Raw genomic sequence first — 23,478 nt, 5'->3', positions numbered from 1 at the left:
TTAAAAAATGTAAATTGTATGGAACCATTTTTAGTTTTTAGGCCTAAAGTCAGGGTTCTTTTTTATTTGTGTTGTGGAGCTAAACCTGTATAGTCAGAGAGAAGAGATTCTAATTTTCTTTCAGGCTGGAAACAGGGAAAATCTTAATTTCTCTTTCCTTTTTAAAAAATGGATTGTTGCCAAAACCTTTTAACTGAAATAAATGTTAATTCTTTTAGTGCTTGAAATGTGGATTTGGAATAAAGCTTGGCTTTTTTCTCACTTCTTCGGTAAGGCCTACTCTGAGTTTTCTAGGCCTGCAGCAAAGCCTTGCATTTTTTAAGCCCCTTCAAGTGAAAGAGTATCATTCCCTTTGTGTTTGTGTTTGTGTTTAGGGTGTGTGTGTGTGTGTGTGTGTGTGTGTGTGTGTGTGTGTCTAATTTTTCTATAGCCTGAAAGGCACCTGCTCATTTTCCAGCCTAGTGAGTACAGCAGTGCTATATTGAGAAGTGAGGCAGGATGGAACACAATAAGGTGCTATAATTTTTATTTAGTTAGTTTTGCTCATCCTCGGCAGCTTGTGATCACTGTCCATTTATCTGGAAGTACTCTGATTATTCTTGGCTATCGATGCAGCAGGAGTTTTCTTCTGTGTTTAAAGCAAGGACTGTAGTATACTGAGGGCTCCATCAGGGAGGAGTTGAGTTTTGTTTTGTGTGCATGTGTTTCTCTGGATAAGCTTCTGGCTATAGTTGGGTTTACTGTGCTTTAATTTTTTAAAATTTGGTTGTTTTAATCTTGTTGAATTTATTTTTGTGTGAGATATTTTTCTCTAGCAATTCACTAATTTCTTCTGTGTATGTTGATGCTATTTTATAAAATTTTCTTAATGTGTTGTTCTTTTAGTTTAACTTCTTCTTGTTTATTTTTAAAATCTGGTATCTAGCATTGACCTTTCTTAGTGACTTTTATTTGAATTATCTTGTGCTTTAGAGACATAGGAATTTGGGTCTATTATCCCATTTCTGAGCGAACAACTCCCAGTAGTTACAGTTAGTGCAATAGAAAGGGTTCTCACAGATGCAGTGCTGGGCGTTGATCCTCCTCCTTGGTGCTTATGGTTTACACCCAGAACTCCCATTAGTGTTAATAGGAGGCACTTCCTTAAATCCCTGTACACCAAAATAAGCTCAAACTCTTTTATAATGCCTTATAGATACCTGAGTTGTTTTTTTGTTGTTAATGACAAGAGTTTTAGTCCTGAGGTTAACTGATTATTAAGATAGAGTTTGAGTTGTCTTGGGATAAGGAGTGATTTACTAAGTCTGATCTATAATTAAGAAGTTTTCGTTATGATCATTAGACTCAGAAAACAGCTTCGTGAGAGCTATGGAAGCTTGTGAATAAGGATTTTTGTACTTTATAGAGTGAGGAAGCAAGATTTCTTCTTTCTATTTATTTCTGCTATTTCTTCTCAACCATAAAAAATGGTTCTAACAGTTTTTGTTTATATTGTAAGAAGACTTAGAAAAATTGTTTTGTTTTTTATTCTACTTAAAAGCCTTCCTGTAATTACCCTCTGGCCTCAAAGTCTTTTATTAGCTAGTGTGGCTCACATTTTTCAAGCATATAGAAGTTAATATGCACTGTTTTAGAACTTAGACACTACAACCACTGGTCAAGTAATAGATAATCAGTGTTTACTACACCCATCTGTGAATTGTGGATTTTTATTACTTCCATTTATTTATGTACAGTCTAAATCTTTGTAGATTTTAGCTAGTCATCTGGACTTCTTGGACCTCTGTTCCTCCATGAAATGAAGGTATGGATCTGCCCTCTGAGGTGTCCATTCTAGTTTTAGGCTGTTTGAAGGCCTACTTTCCTAGGTACTGAAGGAAATAGAGTACTGTAAGGCAGGCAGTGGTTTCTAATCCTGGCTCCCTATTAGAATCTTTTGGGGGAACTTAAATACAGATCTATGGGTTCTAAATAAGACATAATATATTCAATATCTTTAAGGGTAGGGCCTGTGAACCTGTATTTTTTGAAGTTTTATGTGTTATCCTGATCTAGGATTGAGAACTACTTGTACAAGGTATTCTATTCTTTTGTGTATGTGTGTGTGTGTGTTCTAGTTAGGGAGATGTCATATAGGTCAGATTAAAATGTGAGGCAGTGTGTGGTTAAACTTGAAAATGAATGAGAAAGAGGATAAACACTTTAGGAGTTTAAACAAAGGAAGAATTGGGAATTAGGATGGTTTGAGCAGATCTCTGTTAATCAGTGAGTCTTTATCTGGACCCTAGTGTGTGGGTGAGATTTGGATAGTTAGAGAGAGGGTAAAAAGGTATTATTCTTGTTATAAGGAAGAGCATAAGTAAAAGTTGGGGAGCGGAACAATTCTGATTATAGTTTTAGTCTTTATTTTAGTATTCTTTTGCTCCTGAAACTGCTGTAGATTTCCTCAATAATTTGAGGGAGTGAGCCATGAAGATATTTGGAGGAAAAGAGTGTTCCAGAGCCCCAAGAAGGGAACTTGCCTGGAGGGTCTGAAGTACGGAAAAGAGGCCAGTGTTGCTGGAAAGGATTGAGCGATAGGGAGATGGGACGGCTTCGAGTGGCAGAGGCCCAAATCACTCAGTGCCTGTGGGCCATTGAAAGGAACTTCATCTTTTCTCGGAGTATGATGGGAAGCCACTGGAGGGTTTTGAGCAGAGGAGTAACAAGATCTGTCTTGGATTTTGAAAAGCTTACTCTGGCTTGCGAGAGAATATACCTTAGCGGGGCTAGGGTAGAATTGGGGAGGCCAGTTAGGAGGCTGTTGCAATTATCTAGGTGAAAGGTGAAGGTGACTTGGACCAGGGAGGTGGTAGGAGAGTTGAGGCAAGGGGGTCATGGTGGATATATTTTGAAGGTAGAGGCACATGGTTGGCTGTCGGAGTAGATGTGGAGTGTGGTAAAAGAAGAGTCTTAAGATGACTTTTAGGATTTTTTCTTCTGAGGGGGTGGAGTTACCATTTACTGAGATGGGAATGACTCTGAGGAGGAAGTTAGGGGAGAGGTAGTCAGGAGTTTAGTTTTGGATGTGTTGAGCTTGAGATACCTATTTGACCAGTGTTGAGTGGGCAGTTGGGTATATGAGTTTGGAATTCAGGGGAAGGATATGTGCTAGAGATAAACATTGGGAATTGCCAGTGTGTAGATCCTTCTATAGCCATGAGACTGTGTGAGATCACCTAAGGGGAAGAGTTCCAAGAACTGAGTCCTGGGACAGTTCCACATTTTAAGGTGTTGGAGGCAAGGAGGAACCAGCAAAAGAAACCAAAGAGAGTAGCCAGAGAGTTGGGAAAGAAAATCAAGAGAGGATGGTCTCCTGGAAGTCAAGAGAAAAAAAATTTTGAGGAGGAAGAAATGAGCAGTGGGTCAAAAGATACTGGTCAAGGAAGTGAAGACTATTTTCTGTTGGATTTAACAACTGTTAAATCATTGGTGATCTTCACAAGAATGGAGGGAGGCAAAGGCCCTAATGGGTTGTGTTCAATAGAGATTGGGAGGAGAGGAATTAGAGGGAGTATGGTTACCTCTTTCAGGGAGTTTTGCTATAAACGTGAGCCTAGACGGGGACAATAACTAGAGAAGGATATGGAGTCAAGAGGGTTTTTTTTTTTAATTATTATTTTTTAAGATAGAAGGAACAAAATGATCCAGTAATGATGAGGGGAAAATTGATGCTCCATGAGAGTAAAAGGAAAAGAGCTAGAGGAATGTCCAGGAGAGGGTAAGAGAGGTGGGTACAAGAGGGATGGTTATTAAGATGTTGGGGCCCCAAGGACTAAGCCTATCAAGCGGGATTCTGCTTTTTCTTCTAACCACTTATCTGCATTTAAATTTATTTCAAACTTACTTGCTTTCTGTTGGAAGTTAGGAAGGGTAGATAAAAAGCAGTAAAGCCAGTGGTGTATAAAACTCAGTTTGGGGGCCTCTATCAGCTTGGTATAGTAAGGGGAAGAGAAGAGATTGAATCTTCTGGGTAAGGTGACATTTTAAAGTGTCTTTGAATGACAATTATCTGTGCTATTCTAGTCCCTTATCAAAATTTATGATTGAGCACAGGCTATAAACTTAATCATTTGAAATTTGTAGTAGGGTGAATTAAATTTTAGCCTAATTTAAAACATGATCTAGTATTAAACTTTTTCTCTGCAAGTTTTGTTTAATACAGATTCTTCATATCGCAAGGGTTTCAGATATTTTACAAAAGGTATTTAAATAATTATTAATTGCTTTAGATTTATTTATAATATTTAAAATATTATAACCATATTAGAAATCTGGATGATTTGTTTCTTTACCAGCTCTAATTAGAGCAGTTACCTGTGAAGTTCTGGAGAGGTGAACAATCTTCCGTTTGCAAAAAATTGTATGACATTATATTAGCAAGATAGTATAACACCTCTAAAAGCAAAAATAATTTCATTTACTCTAACTTAGGTGTTTTGGATATATTTTTCAAGAACAAATCTATCTTTTAAAAATTTAAGCAAATATGGTTAAAATTTTGAAGTACCTTAGTTAGAAGTGTGAAATGTATGTGAGAAACAAACTAAGTGGCTTTTAACCAGCTTAACATGAAGAAATCAAACTTGCATTTCAGACTTAAATATGTTTTACATATGGATAGTGTAAAAAGCACAAACGTGTGTATAGATCTTGCTTTTTGCTGCTCAGTTTTCTTAAATTATAGAAATAGAATATTTGCTTTTTTTTTGACAATTTCCAAATGGTAGTCAATTAATATTCAATCTTCAGAAGAAACACTTTGGGATTTCTGATGTGCACAGTGTTTAAGAATCATTAGTCTAAAAATAATTTCCTCTTTTTGGGTATGTGAACCTCATTGTGAAACCAATTAAAGCCGTGGACCCTCTTCCAAGAAAGGTGTACCTATGCTGATATGTATAGAATTTAGCATATAGTAGGAAGCAGTTGACAGACCCCTCTGAAGCCCATTCATGGGGATCCCTTAGGTTTAAAGGATTTCATGATTTGTCTTTTTTTGGGACGGAGACTCACTCTGTCGCCAGGCTGGAGTGTAGTGGCGCGATCTCAGTTCACTGCAGTCTCTGCCTCCCGGGTTCAAGTGATTCTCCTGTCACAGCCTCCCGAGTAGCTGAGATTACAGGTGCACACCACCATACCCAGCTAATTTTTTTTTTGTATTTTTAGTAGAGACTTCTACGAAATAATTATTATTCACCATGTTGGCCAGGACGGTCTCGATCTCCTGATCTCGTGATCCACCCACTTTGGCCTCCCAGAGTGCAGGCATGAGCCACTGTGCACGGCCAGGATTTCATGTTTTAAGATGGCTTATGTGATTTTTCTTTAAAACTTTATGTGCAGACTTTTCCAAAAATATTTCGCTAGTGTTTATTGTAGTTTGTTTTTTAGAAGAGTAACTCCTGCAGCGGGTTAAGAGAAAGTGAGGTCTAGTGGAAAATGAACTCAGCCAAGGAATCTCGGGCCCATAAGCTCTTCTCCAGCTTCACTATCAGCTAGCTGAGTGACCTTTGGGGAAATCACTTAACTTTTCCGGGTTTGATTTTCTATGCGATTTCTGCAGTCCCTACAAATAGTCTTATGAGCAGTTTCATGACATCATGATTTCAGGATATCATGGCAAAATTCTTTATCAGTTCAGGATTGGCCCTGCTCCTCATTTTTGGAGAAAATGCCTTGGAGATAAGATATATGTACATTGTGCTGCCTTTTGTTGAATATGACTTTTCAGCAGCATTTATTAATACTTTCTCAAATGCTGTATAAGTTAAAATCCCAGTCCCATCCTCATCACTTTGAATTTCAACATATTTTATATATTGTGGGTATAAGCCTGTGTTGATTATACGTAATATAATTATCACCTCCGATTCTGTGGTTTACCTTTTCACTTTCTTAATGGTGTTTTTTTGATGAGCAGAAGTTCTTAATTTTAATTTTGTCCAATTTATCAGTCTTTTCCTTTTTACTATATTTTAAAATGGTAATATTTTACTTCCTAATCAACAACTTGGATGAAAACAGTTCCAGAAAGTCATTCATTTAACAAATAATGCTGCTGGAAATCGATGCATAAGAAATTATCCCCAGCCTAAAAGAGCTAACATGAAAGCCCTAATAGGGAAGATAAGCCCTCAACAGACAGCTTAAGTGTCTGTTTAGTCAATTCATTGACTTAACAAACATTTATTGAGCATTTACTATGTGCCTGGTACTGTTTGAGGCAACCTTTTGAGTGGCACAGAGTCCTGTAGATATCAGTAGTGTTAAGAATCCACTTTTTAATAACTGCATTGTTCTACAGATTGTTGCATGATTTCTCTTTTGGTTGAGAGTCATCCTAACCTTGGTGATTAAAATTGTTATTTGCATGGGCCTGAGAACTTTAAAAAGGACAGCTGCTAAAGAAAAGGCAGAATAGAATAGCACATTGACTTTCTTTGGAAATGAGTGCTAACTGCATGAACTGGGGCCCTTTTAAATAATTTTATCGTATGTTTGGTATAACTGTACATGGTTAAACAAAGATTTACAATCTGGGAGACATGAAGCTCTTTTGAAATATTCCCTGAGGCAATGAGACACTATTGGAGTAATATCAGTCAACAAACACCATATTTAAGGCAAAAGGAAGACATGTAGTTTTAGAGCATAGCATATAGTGGAGTTTAAATAATTTAATACTAAAATATTAAGGGAAAAGTTTTAATTTTTGTTTCCTAATATTGGATTGGGATCCCAAAACCTAAATTTTCTTTCTGGCTTCATCACTGATTAGATATGTGGCATAGAAACAAATAGCTTTTGTGTATGTGGTTTACAATCTAAAGTGGTAAGATGTGGCCAGGCACAGTGGCTCACACCTGTAATCCCAGCACTTTGGGAGGTTGAGGCAGGGAGGATTGCTTGAGCCCAGGGGTTTGATACCAGCTTGGGCAACACAGTGAGGCCTGACTCTACAAAAAAATAAAGTAATAGCCAGGCATGGTGGCACACTTGAAGTCCTAGCTATTCAGGAGGCTGAGGTGGGAGGATTGCTTGAGCCTGGGAGGTTGAGGCTGCAGTGAGCTGTGATTGTGCCACTGCACTTGAGCCTGGACAACAGAGTAAGACATTGTTTCAAAAAAAAAAAAAAAAGGTGAGACACATCTAAGAATGTGAAAAAAAGTTTAATTAAAATTCTGACTATACATTATTATAAAATGCTGTGATTTTAAAGCCTTATATAAGGCAAATACATTTCAAGATTAATTGAAAAAAATGCCTTTTATGAGGACCAAACTAAGAACTAGTGATGTTACCTTAATTTGTTAATGTAAAACAACTGACAGTAGAGGTCACTTGTTGGGGATGAAGGAGTAGTTGTATGTTATTTAAATGAGGTGCATTTCATTTCTATGTGTCTCTTAGGAAAGGAAAATTATCAACTACTTACTTTTGCTTGTCTTGAAAAACTATGGAAAAGTAGCAATTTAACTGCTCTTGAGTTCTTTTCTTTGCTGTAAAAATTACCTATTGCTTCTTTTTTTCTTTTGGGTTTTAAAACTTTGGAAACTTGTGTGTGTTTTGTTTTTTCTTCTTAAAATCAGTAATCTTTGAGTCTTCAGCTTTTAATGACATGTCATAAATATGTGTGTGTTGTCTAATTCCATTTTCCCGTTCTTCTGTTATAGGGGGCTAGAGAGCTGAAGGAGAGCCAGTTTCCCCAAAATTGGTAAGTACTTTGACTAGGTAGACATCGTGTGCCTGATCCTGATGCTAGCTGGATAGTTATTCAAATATTGTGATTTTTTTTTTTTTTTGGCAAATAGGCTCTCTCTCAGAAATGGGGCTTTGCTATTTGCACTAAGTGGAAATGAATTGTCTAATTTCACGTAGCTATACTTCAAACGCATTTGTGTTTCTGCTAATACAGCTAGGCCTGCATGTTCCACCGTTCGATAACCTGTTAAAATGTAAAAGTCCCGTTTTCCAAAAATGTCCTTAATGCAATGGTTCTGGTTGAGAATTCAAACGTCAAGAAATTCAAAAGTTCAGATTCCCAGCCAGGCCCAGTGGGTGTGTGCCTATAGCTCCAGTTACTTAGGAAGCTGAGGCAGGAGGATGGCTTGAGCCAATTCAAGTCATCCAGCTTGAAGCTGGCAACAAAACGAGACCCTCATCTCTTAAAAAAAGATTAAGATTCCTATAGTGTTTTGTGTTACTTAATATGCTGTTCTATTTGATGGCCTTAGTATATGTGCAGAGTGGCTTAGGTTAATTTAACTGTGGAAACTTGACTTTGAAATTTGGGACTCGTGTTTATTTACATTCTTAAAATTAATATTGGATTAGTTAGCTTCATGTCTGATAGTACATTTTTAGCATGTGTTGTTTTATATAATTCTTCAAAAGGAAAAAGAGAGAAAAAGAGAGAGAAATGTAATTGTGGGGCATACAGGCAAACATTTTTTCCTAATATCTACTTTGAGAGGTTTTTTTAATGGCTCTTCATCATTCTTAAACATTTCTTTGAATGCACAGGGCAATCTAGTGACTAGCCATCAAACAAATATTAACTTTATTAGGAGAGTGTGTATTATGAAAAAAATTACACTCAAATAAGATAGCTGGAATAGGGTAGTCGCCTAGTGCAAGACTACTCCTTTTTAAAAAAATTTTTAAATCCTCTCTCAAATAGTAATTAACTTGGTGGGTGGAGTAGATATAGTAGATATTTGGCCAAGGTTTCCTTTTGATAGTTTATGGTGCTTGTGGTGTCTCTCTTCCTTTTGGGGACTGGGATTTGAACATGTTTAATGGAGGCACTTGAACTAGTTAATCCTTGCATTTACTACCTTTTTATTCTACTTGCCTTTCTCTCATTAAACCTTTTAAAATAAATAATCAAGATCCTATAGCTCTTTACTTTGACATGGGATGGAATCTTAGAGAAGCGACCTTAACCCATTTATACCAGAGGTTGCAAATTTTTTTTGTGAAAAATCAGACTTTGGCAATGAACTTGAGCAGTAGGATATAAATAACTCCCACAAGCTTAGTGTTCCAATAATGGAACACTAGGTATAAATGGGTTAAGGGCCTTCTCCTCCAGTATTTTACCTTGTGTGGCAGTTTCTTCTAGATCCCTGACAGGTTGTTATTCAGGTACATATTGAATACCACATTTAAAAAAAATGTAGCTCATTTTCTATAATGTATTCTGAGGAATTCTACTTCCACAAAAAATAAGTATTATTGAGGTGGGGTGGGGGTGGGAAAAGGCTTCTGTGGTCAAGTAATTTGGGAAATGCTGCATTAAACAAAGTTAAACAGGTTTCTTTACTGCAGGACTTCTCAGAACCTTTAATATGCTAATGTGCATTGTGAATCTCCAAGAGGGGGATATGATATGCAGCATTCTTGAATACTTCTAATGACAGGGAGCCCACTACCTCATAAGGTAACCCATTCCTTTTTTGTACGACTCTTATCCTTAGTTCTTCCTTTTCCTTATATTGATCTGAAATCTATCTCCCATAACTTCCACTTCTATTAAGTATTTATTGGTTATGCTGAGACTACCACACCCACTTGCATTATCCTTTGTGTGGTATATATTTGTAAGATTCTGGCCAGGCTTGTCTGGACAGTTTTTTTTTAAATAGTCATTAAATATTAATAACATTCTGGTAAATGTGACAACTAGTTCTAAAACCTTGGCCTCATTGTCACTATGCTCTCATACCTTACTCCCCAACCTCCTCCATTTTCAATTTCTGTGTATTTTAAAATTTACTCAGTTTTCCTTTTGTTGGATGTGGTTGGGATAATCTAGTAGACGTGCCTGATTTTTGTAAAGAAAGTTAGGAAATAGAAGAATGTGTATATTCAGACAGCCTGGACCCCAGGAAGCAGAGGTAGAAACTGTATATTGGGCTGAGCACTGATGATGGTAGGGAGGGGTCCAGGACACTACACAGACTTGTGAAGGAGGGTGCTATGGGGAACCCTGGCCTGGCCCAAGGCACCATAATAGCCTGCACGTTGCAGTGGAGGTATGACCTGTGTAGAGATTCCTTTTTTAAAAAATGAGGACCCGCCCCCCACCCCCTCCAAAACAAATAGAGATTAGAAAGATATTTTATACTCACATACATTCAGACATTTAGATATCATAAATGTAATGATATGTATGCATATTTTTTTATTTCATAGGAAACAACATTATTAAATATAATTTAATAGTATAGAAACATCCAACTAGCTAAGGAGGTCAATAGCTGTCACACCAGAATTTTAACATAGCAGCCTTACCACATTCAGAGGGTTCGCCTCGAAAATCAGGGTTGCCAAGCTCTTTGTGCAGTAGTATTTTCTGTTCACCTGTGGAGTGTCATAAAAGAAACACTGTGATGAAAATAAATCAAGATGTGTTGAAAATTTGCTAAATGATAAGAAAATAGACATTACATTATGTTTTTTAATGTTGTCATTTGTATTGATTCATGTTAATAAATGTTAAAGTTTTTAATAAATAGTATTAAAAGAATTTTATTATTTTTTGCATTCATGGTAATTTTAGCACTACTGCTAATAAAGATATTATTTTATCTACCTACATATTAGATACATAGTAGGAAGTATTTTGTACAAATTGAAACCTGATATTCAAATATTAAGCATGGTACAAGAAGTAAAGATACGTAGATGACTGTCAAGACCTACTTTTTCCTATTTAAAAAAATGAATTAAACCTACTTTAAACATTGTGTCTGAGAATATAGATAAAAAGCAGAGGAGTTTCACACCAAATAAATGCATGGTATAGAGAACATGGAGTTGTCCTTTTTAGGGACAGTTTGGGGCACACTGTGTCATGGACTTATCGTTAGTTAAAGAAATGTTGGTTGATGAGTCAAGTTTTGATTGGAAAAAGGTTTCTGTCAACTCAGTAACAGCAAAATATTTCTTAGCAGTAAAATTGGAGTTATAGCTTTCCTTCGAGTTATTAGAATCGTAATGAAAGACCTGCAGGTCACATATCTTCAAGCAGAAGTATACCCAGAGAAATAGTTAGAAGAACCTCCTTAGAGAATTTGAGAACAGAAAAGCCTACAGTCTTCTAGATATATACTATGTAGAGAAGTTCTATTAAAAAGTCTGTATAGAGAAAAGAATTAAGTGTATTAAAACTATCATAAAACTTTACAGTTTGCAAAGGGCTTTTCATATAATTTTGCCTTATTTAAACCACAACAGTCTTATGAAGTAGGTGATATTGTTTCCATTTTCCTGATTTACAAGCAAACAAACAAATGAACCCTGGGGATGAGAGTAGTCACACAGTGAGTAAGTAGAATTAGCATTTTTTGTTTTTTGGGATGGTGAATGTGCTTTCCAGATACCATGGCTGACCTTTTTAGTGGGATTTTATTATTGTTTTTGTGTGTTTGGTTTGTGTGTTTGGTTTTTATGTTTTGTTGTTGTTGTTGTTGTTGTTGTTGTTATTGGAAAGTTAGAGGCCATTAGATATCAGAATGGTTTGACATGTACCGTTTGGAAGATTGCAAATGCTAATATTTTGGGCTAGGCAAGTGGCCTTGCTGATAGTGACTTGTAGAGCTGTTGGATGGTGAGAGTCACTCATTATGGTGGAATGCAGTGTGTTACTGTCTTGTGAGTCTGATGGTATTCACTTTGCAGCAACTGATTTGTTATTTATAACTTGTTAGAATTGGTCAAAATATGTTAAATCATCTTTTACAAATGTAGCCAATAATTCTTTTGATGCTATAAACTGCCTCCCAGTGGTATTCAGATGACTGCATGAGATGTCCAAGACCTCAAAATATTTTTTCAGCTGGGTGCAGTGGCTCACACCTGTAATCCCACACTTTGGGAGGCTGAAGGTGGATGGGTCACTTTAGCCCAGGAGCTCAAGACCAGCCTAGGCAACATGGCGAAACCCTGTCACTACAAAAAAATACAAAAATTAGCCAGGTATGGTGGGGCACACCTGTAGTCACAGCTACTCAAGATGCTAAGGCAGGAGGATCACTTGAGCCCAGCAAGTTGAGGCTGCAGTGAGCCGTGATCGCACCACTGCACTTTAGCCTGGGTGACACAGTAAGACCCTATCTCAGGAAAAAAATTTTTTCAAAATATTCAGCATGTATTCGTGACCAGCCTGGGCAACATATGAGACCCCTTCTCTACAAGAAAAAATAAAATTAAACAAACAAGATTCAACATGTACCTGCCTTGTTTTTGTAAACTATAAATACATGTCTGTAATTTGTTTCTTTCCGCACAGACCAGTCTCTTAAAATTACTATCCAGAAAGAGATCTTTCTGAAGAAAAGAAAAAGAATTTCAAATGAATCTTCTAATCCTTCATATGTTTTTCTACAACTAGTCCTAACTTTTTTAACCCTTTTAGTTTTATTTTGAAATAAAATGAGTAATTGGCATTTAGAGTCCTTGCTGAATAAAACTTCATGCCTTTGTGTATCTCTGAGAAGCAGACAACAATCTGATGGAGAAAGTAAAAGCCATCGGCTCCTCATTAACTTGAGTTGCAGGCTTATTATTGTGCGAGGCACTCTTTGACATTTACAGTCTTCAAGTTAAACCCTGGTTTTAACTTTTTCTTTTCCTGAGCATTTTGTTTGATAGTATAATGTTTTCTGATGCTTTATCTACAAATCCTTGGTTAATGTCTTCTTGTTTAAAAAGATGTGCATATTTTTTATGGAAAATTTTGAAAATATCAATACCCCAAAAAGAAGAAAGTAAATAACTGACAGTGCTACTACCTAGAGATAACCATCAGCAAATTGCGAAGTGGCACCTGACACAAATTCTAGACAGCTCAGAGTATTATTATCTTATAGGTCTTCAGTTTGATAGACAAAGCATATAATCTTAGTTATATTTCTGTGTCTTAAAAGATGGAAGTTTTTCATGTTTGTTGGTCATTCTTATTTCTTCTGTAAATTGTTTTTTCATAGATTTTTGTTATCAATTTTTGAGGGCCCTAAATATATAAACTGTATTAGCCCTTTGTTATGTATAATGTTAAGTTCTTTGTGTTTTAACCTGCCGTTCATTTCCAGAGTTTATGTGAATTGAATTGAACTATGGTTTTATGTTACTGTCAGTAGAATGAAGTACGAATATTTGAAAAATACACCTTCAACTTCAAAGTGATTCTTGACAAAAATTATAAGGAATCATTTTGGACACATTTTCTGGTAGAGCCTTGTAAAAATTAAAACCAAGTGTTGTTTTCAAGAAGAACTGTAATACATAATCAGGAATTTGAGTAGGGAGATTATTTTGTTATTTAAAATTAAAGTGGCTGTGTAGTTTTAACTTTAGTATTGCAGGTAGAGTAAGCTTACATGATAACAAAAATCTTGGTCTTAGTGACTTAATGATTCTGATATTTATTGATTGATTGGTTATCATTCCAAATATTTTAAAAGATAATAGCTGGCTGGGTGCGGTGGCTCATGCCTGTAATCCCAGCACTTTGGGAGGCCAGGACGGGCGGATCACGAGGTCAGGAGATCAAGACCATCCTGGCTAACACGGTGAAACCCCGTCTCTACTAAAAATACAAAAAAATTAGCCGGGTGTAGTGGCGGGCACCTGTAGTCCCAGCTACTCAGGAGGCTGAGGCAGGAGAATGGCATGAACCTGGGAGGCGGAGCTTGCAGTGAGCTGAGATCGTGCCACTGCACTCCAGCCTGGGCGACAGAGCGAGACTCTTTCTCAAAAAAAAAAAAAGATAGTAGCTAAAACTACCCAGATTTGTTCACCATAGTATGTCTCCCTTTCTAAATTGTTAATAACTCCCTTAAATATACTGCCTTTTAAAATGTTTTGTTTAACATTATCATTATACAGTAAATTTTTCCTATCCTTTGCAAATGTGAATTTAAAGGAATTTTGCACTTTTGGAATTTATTCTTTTTTAGGTTTGAGTATTTTGATGTTATATAATCTAGTATATAAGCCCTGAGAGAGAGATTTCTGCTGATGTTTTATGCCTAATGAGAATAAGCAAATATATTGAAAACTCATATTCACAAGAATATACTCCCTAGTTAATGATTCCATTATAACTCTGTTAAACCAGTTTTCAAAGGACTCTTAGAAAACTTAGGTTGAATATAGACTGTACCCATAGGTAAATAATATTTAGAAATATGAAGATCATGAATCTTATTGTATTGGTTTAAGGAGTAGTGGTTCCTCTAACTTCCTGATTGTTCCATTCCCCAATTTATATGAATGCTAAAAAGCTGCTCTAGCTACAAGCTTTATAGGTGCAAAGAAGAAAAGAAATTTGAAGTAAAATTTAAATTTATTCAGGCAAAAACAGACTTTTGCTTTGACAGAGTACCTAAAATCATGTCTAAGGCCACATTCAAGAAAAGAAAACAACAATAAAGGATAAATTAGCCATCGAAATAATTTAAATTAGAGCAGTGATGACTGAGGGAGATAGGAAGGTCAAGCTGGGTGTCATATTAACAGATTTAGACTTTTGACATTATCTCCACATGCCATTATATGTATAGTCAAAGAGATGACTGGCAAGCTTGAAAGAAGATGATTTTCATTGTAAAGCTGGACATGTGTTCCATTACTAGACCACCTCAATTACACACGATAGATACATTTTAAAATATCCACATCATAAGTTCGTGGATAGTACAGTTATATTGCATTGTATTTGTCTGTTTTGAGTATTAATTTGTTAAATGTAAATGTTTAAGTTATACCAGAATTTCCCCATTTTGAGTTTCTCTGTTTTTTATGTAGAGTAAGAACCCATCCAAATAAAACTACCCTGGCATTCGTTAACCTCCGAGAAACCCTGAACTCTCCAGTCCACTCTGTGTGAAGTTTAAAAATGTATGATTTTGGCTCAGCGCAGTGGCTCACGCCTGTAATCCCAGCACTTTGGGAGGCTGAGATGGGTGGATCACGAGGTCAGGAGATCAAGACCATCCTGGCTAACACGGTGAAACCCCGTCTCTATTAAAAATATAAAAAAATGAGCCGGGCGTAGTGGCAGGTGCCTGTAGTCCCAGCTACTCTGGAGGCTGAGGCAGGAGAATGGCGTGAACCTGGGAGGCAGAGCTTGCAGTGAGCTGAGATTGCACCACTGCACTCCAGCCTGGGCGACAGAGCGAGACTCCATCTCAAAAAAAAAAAAAAAAATTATGATTCTGTTGTTATATGTCTCTTTCTGAGGACAGTGTGTCCTGGATGGTTATAGTCTCATTGAAGACAGAAGTGGTCTTACTCAGCTCTGTATCCTCAGTATGTAGTGATTAACACAGTGCTGAGCATGTAGTGGGTGCTTAGATGTTTCCATGACCAGATTAAACCCTTTTTTTGGTTTTTCATTTCTTAGTTATTTGAAGTGTTCTTTAGAGGAATACTTGAAGAATTGTTTTGAGGGAAAAAAAATCTCTTTGGGAAATTTCTTGCCCTGCGTTAGAGAATCAGATATTCTTTTACTAACATAATTTATTTAACATAAATATTATATTTATTCCAAATGTAATGATCCAAAACATTTTATGATCTTTACAGCTGCAGTGAGAAGAGGAGTTTGTTACTTTAAACAGAGGCTGAAGAAACTATAGAATTAGCAGAGAAAGTGGAGAAGGTAGAGGATGGAGTTGCAGACTCTACAGGAGGCTCTTAAAGTGGAAATTCAGGTTCACCAGGTAAGTTGTATTATTGGCTTCTCCCACACTGTTGTTAAGTAATGGCTAAGATTAGTAAACAAGTCCATCTCTGGTGTTTAGTATAGTTTTTAATAATCTTTAAGACAATTTTGTCCAAGAGTCATGTCGTTTGCCTTTTACCACTACTCGACAAAGTCATAGATACTGCTTTTAAGAACTTAAAGTATTCCTGACTTCCTTTCTAGAGAAAAGAACTGAAAAGATTTTTTTCATATACCAAAGGTGTTAACAAAAAAGAAAGAAATCTTTTTTCTGCTTTTTGGTTCATCTGAAGGACTTTATTCATGTGATTTAACTTGCATGTTTTAAATAACAACATGTCTAACTCAACTACCATATGTACTAAAGTTTTTACAGATCATATGACTCAGCTTTATGCGTTGATTCCAATCTTAAAGAAAATGTGATTATCTTCACAGATGTTTAAATTTCAGATTTCACAATTCTTATATTTTACAAAAAGCTATCTTTATATAATTACATAATTAAAATTTGTTATGTAAACAGAGTACCACTGTTTTATATCTTTCTAGACTTTAGCTGGACATCAGGCGGAAGACACACATACACATGCATGTATCTAATCCTTGGTACTCAAAAGTGATAAAGGATGATGCATTGACTACTTTTGAATTTGTAACAATTGGGGATATGGGAGCGGAGAGAAGGATAAGTAAAACTACTTTCTAAAGATGTTTGTTCTTAGGTATAGTTTCCTTTGTTTATCTGAGTAGTCTGAGGTAACATTAACTTTTGAAATCGTTGGGAGAATATCTTGGGCCTTTGGTAACTACTAGATTTGCACATTGCTCAGAATTAGTGTGGGTGAGAACTTAAAGGAAGCTTCAAAAGCACCTGTTCAGAAATCCCTGCTGCTGCTCCGGATCTCGTTAAACTCTTGTTCCGCTGCAGAGTTGGCCCTATGCACGTGGGCTTCTTTAAGTAGGTAATAAGCTGTGTACTTTTTTTTTTTTTTAACTTTGCTTCTGTTACTAATTGAGGAGAGCAGAAATTTGTTACAAAAACAAGCTCGTCTTTTTCTGAGTGAAATTAGTTTAACATAGAGGTGTGTTGAATACCCAGTTTGGCTGAATGGCAAGTGATAAAAATTAAATTCACATTTTATTCAAAGCTGACATCATCATAGAATGAATTTTGGGAGTACAGTAATCAATCTGAAATTTGTGTGGATCAAGGATAATTTTATGATGTTGTGTGTGATTTTTGGAGTTTTTCCTCCTCTGAAGAAGTATTGAGATGGCAAAGTTAACATTCTGCTTTAGTTCCTCTTCACAAGATATGAGCAAATCCCAAATAATCCTTTCTTGAAAGGCTCATGACCTAAATTAATTGAAGTTAATTACTAAATATTTTGTTTCATATTCTGAATTCAAGCATACCAATTTTATAAACATCACAATTATGAAAATACTTAATATTTATTATTCTATTTTAAATCTAATTAAAATTTTAAATTTACATTTGTTGACTCAAAAGGGATATAGTTCTTAAAGTTATTCTAAACACTCTCTTACTATTCATATTAACTGTCAGCTTTGAGCATAAAATTAATAGCTTTTATATTCATCCTTTATACAACATTTTGCTTGTGTGATTATAAACATTTATTTATATGTCAATAATATTTTAACAGAGAAAGCATATATTTCACTCCAGTTATATCTGTAATACTTTACTATTTTTGAAAAAATAATTTATATGGTGTCACCTACACGATTGTTGATCATGACAAATTGAGGCATGCCAGAAATGACATCAAGGTAGGGGTGTTGGTTACTAGGCTGAGACCAAAGCCAGAACATACATTTGACGAAATAGTGGGACAAAAGCCACGCTTTGTTGCATTTCCAGTTAGGGAATGAGATTAGGGCTGAAATTGAGCTTACTGGATAGAAAATGTGTTCTGAAACTATCTGGTATTGTGGAGTGAAAACATATTTTTGTTCTTTGTGTTTTCTTTATGAATGGTGAGATAGTTATGAAAGTAGCAATGTACACATAGTTGATGTTCAGTAAATATTTAAATAATAATGTCCTGTGATGGACATCTCATCTTTTTGGGGAAATTGCCTTTTTTCCTCCTCCCTTTTTTGATCTTATTTAGATTTGATGGAAGTCACATTTAAATTTTCAGGGTATTTACTCCATATGGAATGGAGAATAGTATAAAGCAGAAGTTAGCAAATTTTTTTGTAAAGGGACACACAGTAAAATATTTCTGGCTTTGTGGGTAATTTATGGTTTCTGTCACAACTACTCTGCTCTGCTGTTGCACAGAGAAAACAGCCACGGACAATATATAAATGAATGAGTATGGCTTTTTTCCATAAAACTTTATTTGCAAAAACAGGTGGTGGGCCAGATTTGGCCTATGGGTTGTTTTGCTTACCTTTGGCATGAAGTATATCCTCAAGAAATATTGCCGCATTCTGGCGGAAAGTAACCTAACTTTGTTAACACAATGTCAGCTTAAAGTTACTAGGGATTTGGATGGTCCAGTAAGTTGGCCAGCTCGTCCTGTCCTACCCCTGATTGTCTGAAATGCAGTTTAACTGCTTACAGATAGAAAAATTGGCTTATTTATTTCCTCTAGAGGTGAAGACTTCATGTGGTTATCAGTGAATTTTTAAATTCCAGTGTCTGGAAGAAAACCTTTTTCAGCTTCTAAAACGTTACAGCGTAGTAGCCAACCCTCTGGTAACCAAATCAAAAAGGAAAATCAAGAGCTTTTTTCATTGAAGACTGTGGCTAGCATTAATGTAAAAATGTATGTGTATAAAACCTTGTGTTTCAGTCCCCTTTAAACTCTTGGAATATGTATTGTTTCTATTTTGTAGGTTAAGACTAGGATATAGAAGAGCTACTACCATTAAGTATGAAGTCATATAGTGACACATACCTTGTGTATTTGGAGGTCCCATGGTTGGCAACTTCAGTTATCTAAAATGTGTCTTAGCATCAGGGAGAAAGACTTTTGATTAATTAGAATAAATGTCTGAAGTGATACACCAAAGATTATACATTTTACTAAAGGAGGGTTTCTTAGATTATTACAACCTATTCACTCGTCTTTTTAAAATTAGTCCAGTGAGCGTACCACACAGCAGGTCTGAAACAGCAAATTTGAGCTGGGTTTCAGGGTTGTTAGAATAGTAGCAAGAGCTGCGCATGGTGGCTTACGCCTGTAATCTCAGCTACTCTGGAGGCTGAGGTGGGAGGATTGCTTGAGGTCAGGATTTTGAGATCAGCCTGGATAACATAGTGAGACCTCATCTCTTAAAAAAAAAAAAATGCTGGATATGGTGGTGTGCACCTGTAGTCCCAACTACTTAGGAGGCTAAGGTGGGAAGATTGCTGAAGCCCAGGAGTTGGAGGCTGCAGTGAGCTATGATTGTGCCACTGCACTCCAGCCTGGGTGACAGAACAAGACCCCATCTTTAAAAAACAAAAAACAAAAAAAGAATAGTAGCAAAATGTGCTGGCTGACTACTTGACGTTAAGGAGTGGACTGGAAAACTACAATGTGGATTTAAGAACTTTAACACATAGTAGTTTGGGACCTTTTTTGTAAGGAACCTATTGTTTATAGTTTAGTATATTAATATAATCATTCCTCTAAGTATCAATAAAAGCTTGATTTTTAAATTTTTTTTCTTCTTTTTAAGAAGTTAGGGCGGGTGGCTCACACCTTAATCTCAGCACTTTGGGAGGCTGAGGCGGGAGGATTCCTTGAGCCTAGGAGTTCAAGACCAGCCTGGGCAACATAACAAGACCCTGTCTCTACAAAAAATTAAAAAATTAACCAGGTGTGCTGGTGTGCACCTGGGGTCCTAGCCACTCGGGAGGCTGAGGTGGAAGGATAACTTAAGCCCAGGAGGTTAAGGCTGCAGTGAGCCATGATCACACCACTGTACTCCAGCCTAGGTGACAGAGCAAGACCCTGTCTCAAAAAAAAACTAGTAGTTAGATAAATATATAGTATATTTTAGAAAGGTTTTATTTTACAACTAAACAATTTAAAAGTGCCTTGTCACCAAAAGAGAGTGACAAATTTTTCCATTAGATGAAAAATTGACTTGGGTAATAGCTTATTCCCAGATACTTTAGGACTTCTGATGTTCCTTTATCCTTCATATTCTTCTGTCTATGGTTATTGTTAACTTTGGGCAGCGATGTCTTTAGAAGTTGGGTTAGGTCAAAAGACATTCATTTTTCTTCCTTTCCTTTCCTTTCTTTTCCTTTCCTTTCCTCTTTCCTTTCCTTTCCTTTCCTCTTTCCTTTCCTTTCCTTTCCATTTGTTTGGGCTTCTGTTTTCCCTAGTAAAGATCTTTTCCATTCAGTATTGGGTAGCACTCTTTCCCAGAGGAATCGAGTTAGATAGAGTTTTGTATTGTTCCTGCACTTCCTTGTTCTCAAAAACTGAGCATCACTGCCCCACTGAACTTATCCTCCCCTGCACCGAACTCCTTCTTGAGAGAAGACAGTGGCAAAGTCACATGGGACACTAAGCTCCTTCTGTGGTAAGAAACAAACCAATAGACCTGCCAAATCTGTACTTTGCTCTGTGTATGAACAGGCCGGTTTTGTGTGGGGCCAGCTTCTTTCCAGGCCTTGTTTGGGACTCTAGACATTGACAACATTTGAAAGGGATGCTTGGCTTTTGGAGCATCCAGCTTGCTTAAATTCCTTTCGGAAGCCACTGTCACCCGTCTCTGTCCAGATTTAAAAATCAGGCACTTTTTCATTTCAAATATAAAGTGGTGGTTTGATTTTTTTATTAAAGGAAGTGTCTCCTGAGCCTATTACATGGATCACAGAAGGTTTTAGTCTGTTCTGATTGTGGTGTTGCTCTTTTTTTTGTGTTAACTTAAAATCCTAGATTTTTTGGTCCAAACCTGATTAGCCATAGGGAGTTAATATGTAAGACTGATGGCTCTTTTTCTCTCTTTATTACCAGAAACTGGTTGCTCAAATGAAGCAGGATCCACAGGTAAAACTACTATTGTTATTCATTTAATTGTTAAATTTAAAAATAATTTAAAATAAAATCACCATAAAATACTTAAATATAGATGGTACTTAACTTTTAAGAATTATTTCATTTCTAATAGCAATTATTTTTAATACATTGATCTTCAGGTTATAAGGGTTTAGAAAAATTCATTCTATTTTAATATAGCTATTATTTCATCTTTGTTACTATTATTTTGGTGTCATATTAATTGGTTTGAGTATTTTAGAGAAAAATATTGAGTTAATACTTGTCATATAGCTTAAATTCATTTCCATGAACCCACTTATTCAAAATCAGAGTTTTTGAGGCTTTCTGTCATCCCAATATTATGAAAAGAGACCCCAAACCATTTTTATTTACTTGGAGTTTATATTATAGAACATTTGAATAGTACTGAATTCTCCATGTTCAGGGTAAGAATTTTAGAGTATTTTTTAAAAGAAGCATTTTAGAAAATTTTATTTTTGAAAGAACCCTTAAAGGAGGGTTAAAAAGTACCTTATGTTACTTTCTAACAGAAAAATTAACAGAGAATGTTAACTTTTCTTTAAATTCTCATAGGCATTTTTCACTTAGGCATTTTATTCTCTATTTCTGAAGAGATGTTTTCCTAAAAACTTACCTTGTCTTCTGATAATTATATTTATTATTGGGCATTGTCTCTTTTGTAACCATTAGATACTAGGTCATAAGTATGGAGAGTGTTTATCAAATATCAAATATATCTTTATCTATATCTATATCTATATCTGGGTTGATAAACAGTACATACAGGCTTCACTGTAAAGTAAAATCAAGTTTTTGATTGAAGAATGGTACTGAGGCACATTGATTTTTGGAAGTAAAAAAATAACACTTATCTCTACAAATTGAGAACTCAGGTCTAACTATTGTGTTTTGACTCTGAGAGCTGGCATTGGTAGCCCGTACTTATTCCTTTTGAATGATCCTACTTCCGTGAGAAACTTCTCCTTTTTTTTCTTCTTTTTTTTGGTATAGTCACAATTTAAATTGGATTTAGATACAAAAATTAGCCAGGCATGGTGATGGGTGCCTTGTAAGGCCAGCTACTCAGGAGGCTGAGGCAGGAGAATCACTTGAACCTGGGAGGCAGAGGTTGCAGTGAGCCAAGATCTTGTCACTGCACTCCAGCCTGGACGACAGAGTGAGACTGCATCTCAAAATAAATAAATAAATAATAAATTAGATTTAGGGAACCAAGAGGTGGTAGACTTTAGATTAACAGGTCCTTTCCTATTTAATGTGGTAAACTACATTATCAGCAACTGTGAAATGTTACTAGAAACTATCATTTCTGTTATAGTTGGTGATCATGTAACAGAATTGTCTTAACCTGAAGAATCTGAGGTAGGCAGGACAGTAACTTGTTGGACAACAGGTGTGGGTGATCTCATTGGAGAAGCCTTATGTCAAATACACTAATAAAAAAGTCCACATGGAGTAAACCAAATTTAATAGACGAGGAAGATGTGTTCCCTAACCCTGACAGAAGACCAAGCAGGGTAAATTGAAAGAATTGTATGTGAGACAAATCAAGTAAAAGCAGTCTCTCATTAGGGTGGTGTTCAGTCTGCTAGTAGGCTGTCCTGCTACATTAAGCATTTGAAAACTTTAATTTTGGAATTTTTTGCCTACTTTAGTAAAAGGCAATCATGCTCTGTGTATCTCATCTAAAATAGTATTCTTTTTTTGATTCCTAGAATTTTAGAACTGAGAAAATGCCCTGGTAGTCAGTGTGTTAATTTGAATGATGTAGTGTTAAGGCAGTTGCAGTACTGACAGCTTTTCAGATCTAGGCTAAAATAACAAATGTACTTTGCTAAATAAGGGAGAGGGCAAGTGGAGAAAACCTCTTATCTTTGTTGATAATGCTGTAAAGCATGTAGTGTGTGCATACTTATAACCTCCATTTTCCTACTTTTGTGTGATTAGTGGAGCTTTGGGTTTTCTGTCAATGGATACTTTCTATAAAGAATAAGAATATTTTAGTGGACAGGTACTCTTACCGTACAAGATGCTCAAATATAAAACTTCATGTAATTTAAAACAGTTGCAGAGGAGCTGCTCCTGTTTTGGTGCAAGGAGCCTGTATTTAGGATCTGTGCATTAGGTGATGGTATTATGGCCACAGTGTAATGCATGACAGATTTGATTGGCTAAATGCTTCGGGTTGCTTCATCATTTGTAATGCAGTATGCATAGTCTTCCTGCTACTATTCTGTTAACAAATGAAATATCTTTCTCACAGATATTTTTTCTTTCCAATCAGAATGCTGACTTAAAGAAACAGCTTCATGAACTCCAAGCCAAAATCACAGCTTTGAGTGAGAAACAGGTAGGGGAAAAGGGGAGGGGGGCATATTTTTAACGTTGTGTTCTAAAGATATGTCTGCTCGAGGCTTCTAAGAGAACTGCTATTTTTCCTCATGTGTGAAAATAAGTGTGGGCAGCCAGACTTGGTTTTAATTTTGTTTGAGCTCTGTTTATCTATTTTTATTTTTGGTTGAAATCAGTCTCTAGAGTATCCCATGGTTATATGTTACTGGCAAATACCTAAAAGCAATGTGGCAGGCTGCCGTTAACTGTGTTAATTAAACTCTATAGTTTACCTATAGGGGATGGGGTAAA

At 36.1% G+C, this 23,478-nt stretch overlaps 1 protein-coding gene across 55 annotated transcripts in view; it reads left to right on the top strand.

Annotated features, from left to right (window-relative positions):
• The window catches only part of PHF21A (PHD finger protein 21A), a 192,136-nt gene that overhangs the window by 21,516 nt on the left and 147,142 nt on the right, over positions 1-23,478 (top strand). For 24 of the 55 annotated variants that reach the window (NR_147890.3, NR_165446.1, XM_047427091.1 and 21 more), the window contains 4 exons: positions 7,716-7,756; positions 15,637-15,773; positions 20,773-20,805; positions 23,120-23,185. Coding sequence is in view for 53 of the 55 variants with exons in the window: in XM_047427091.1 (XP_047283047.1) it covers positions 15,720-15,773; positions 20,773-20,805; positions 23,120-23,185 (153 nt within the window). In the remaining 2 variants the exon portion in view is untranslated. Of the gene's footprint in view, positions 1-7,715; positions 7,757-9,372; positions 9,485-15,636; positions 15,774-20,772; positions 20,806-23,098; positions 23,186-23,478 lie in introns of all 55 variants that reach the window. The other 31 variants (NM_001441172.1, XM_047427090.1, XM_017017892.2 and 28 more) reach the window with 3 other exon arrangements.

The sequence above is a fragment of the Homo sapiens genome, chromosome 11 (assembly GCF_000001405.40).
Source record: "Homo sapiens chromosome 11, GRCh38.p14 Primary Assembly".
NCBI classification, from domain to species: Eukaryota; Metazoa; Chordata; class Mammalia; order Primates; family Hominidae; genus Homo; species Homo sapiens.
The sequence above is the reverse complement of the archived record's forward strand: the minus strand, read 5'-3'. Positions and strand labels throughout refer to the sequence as shown.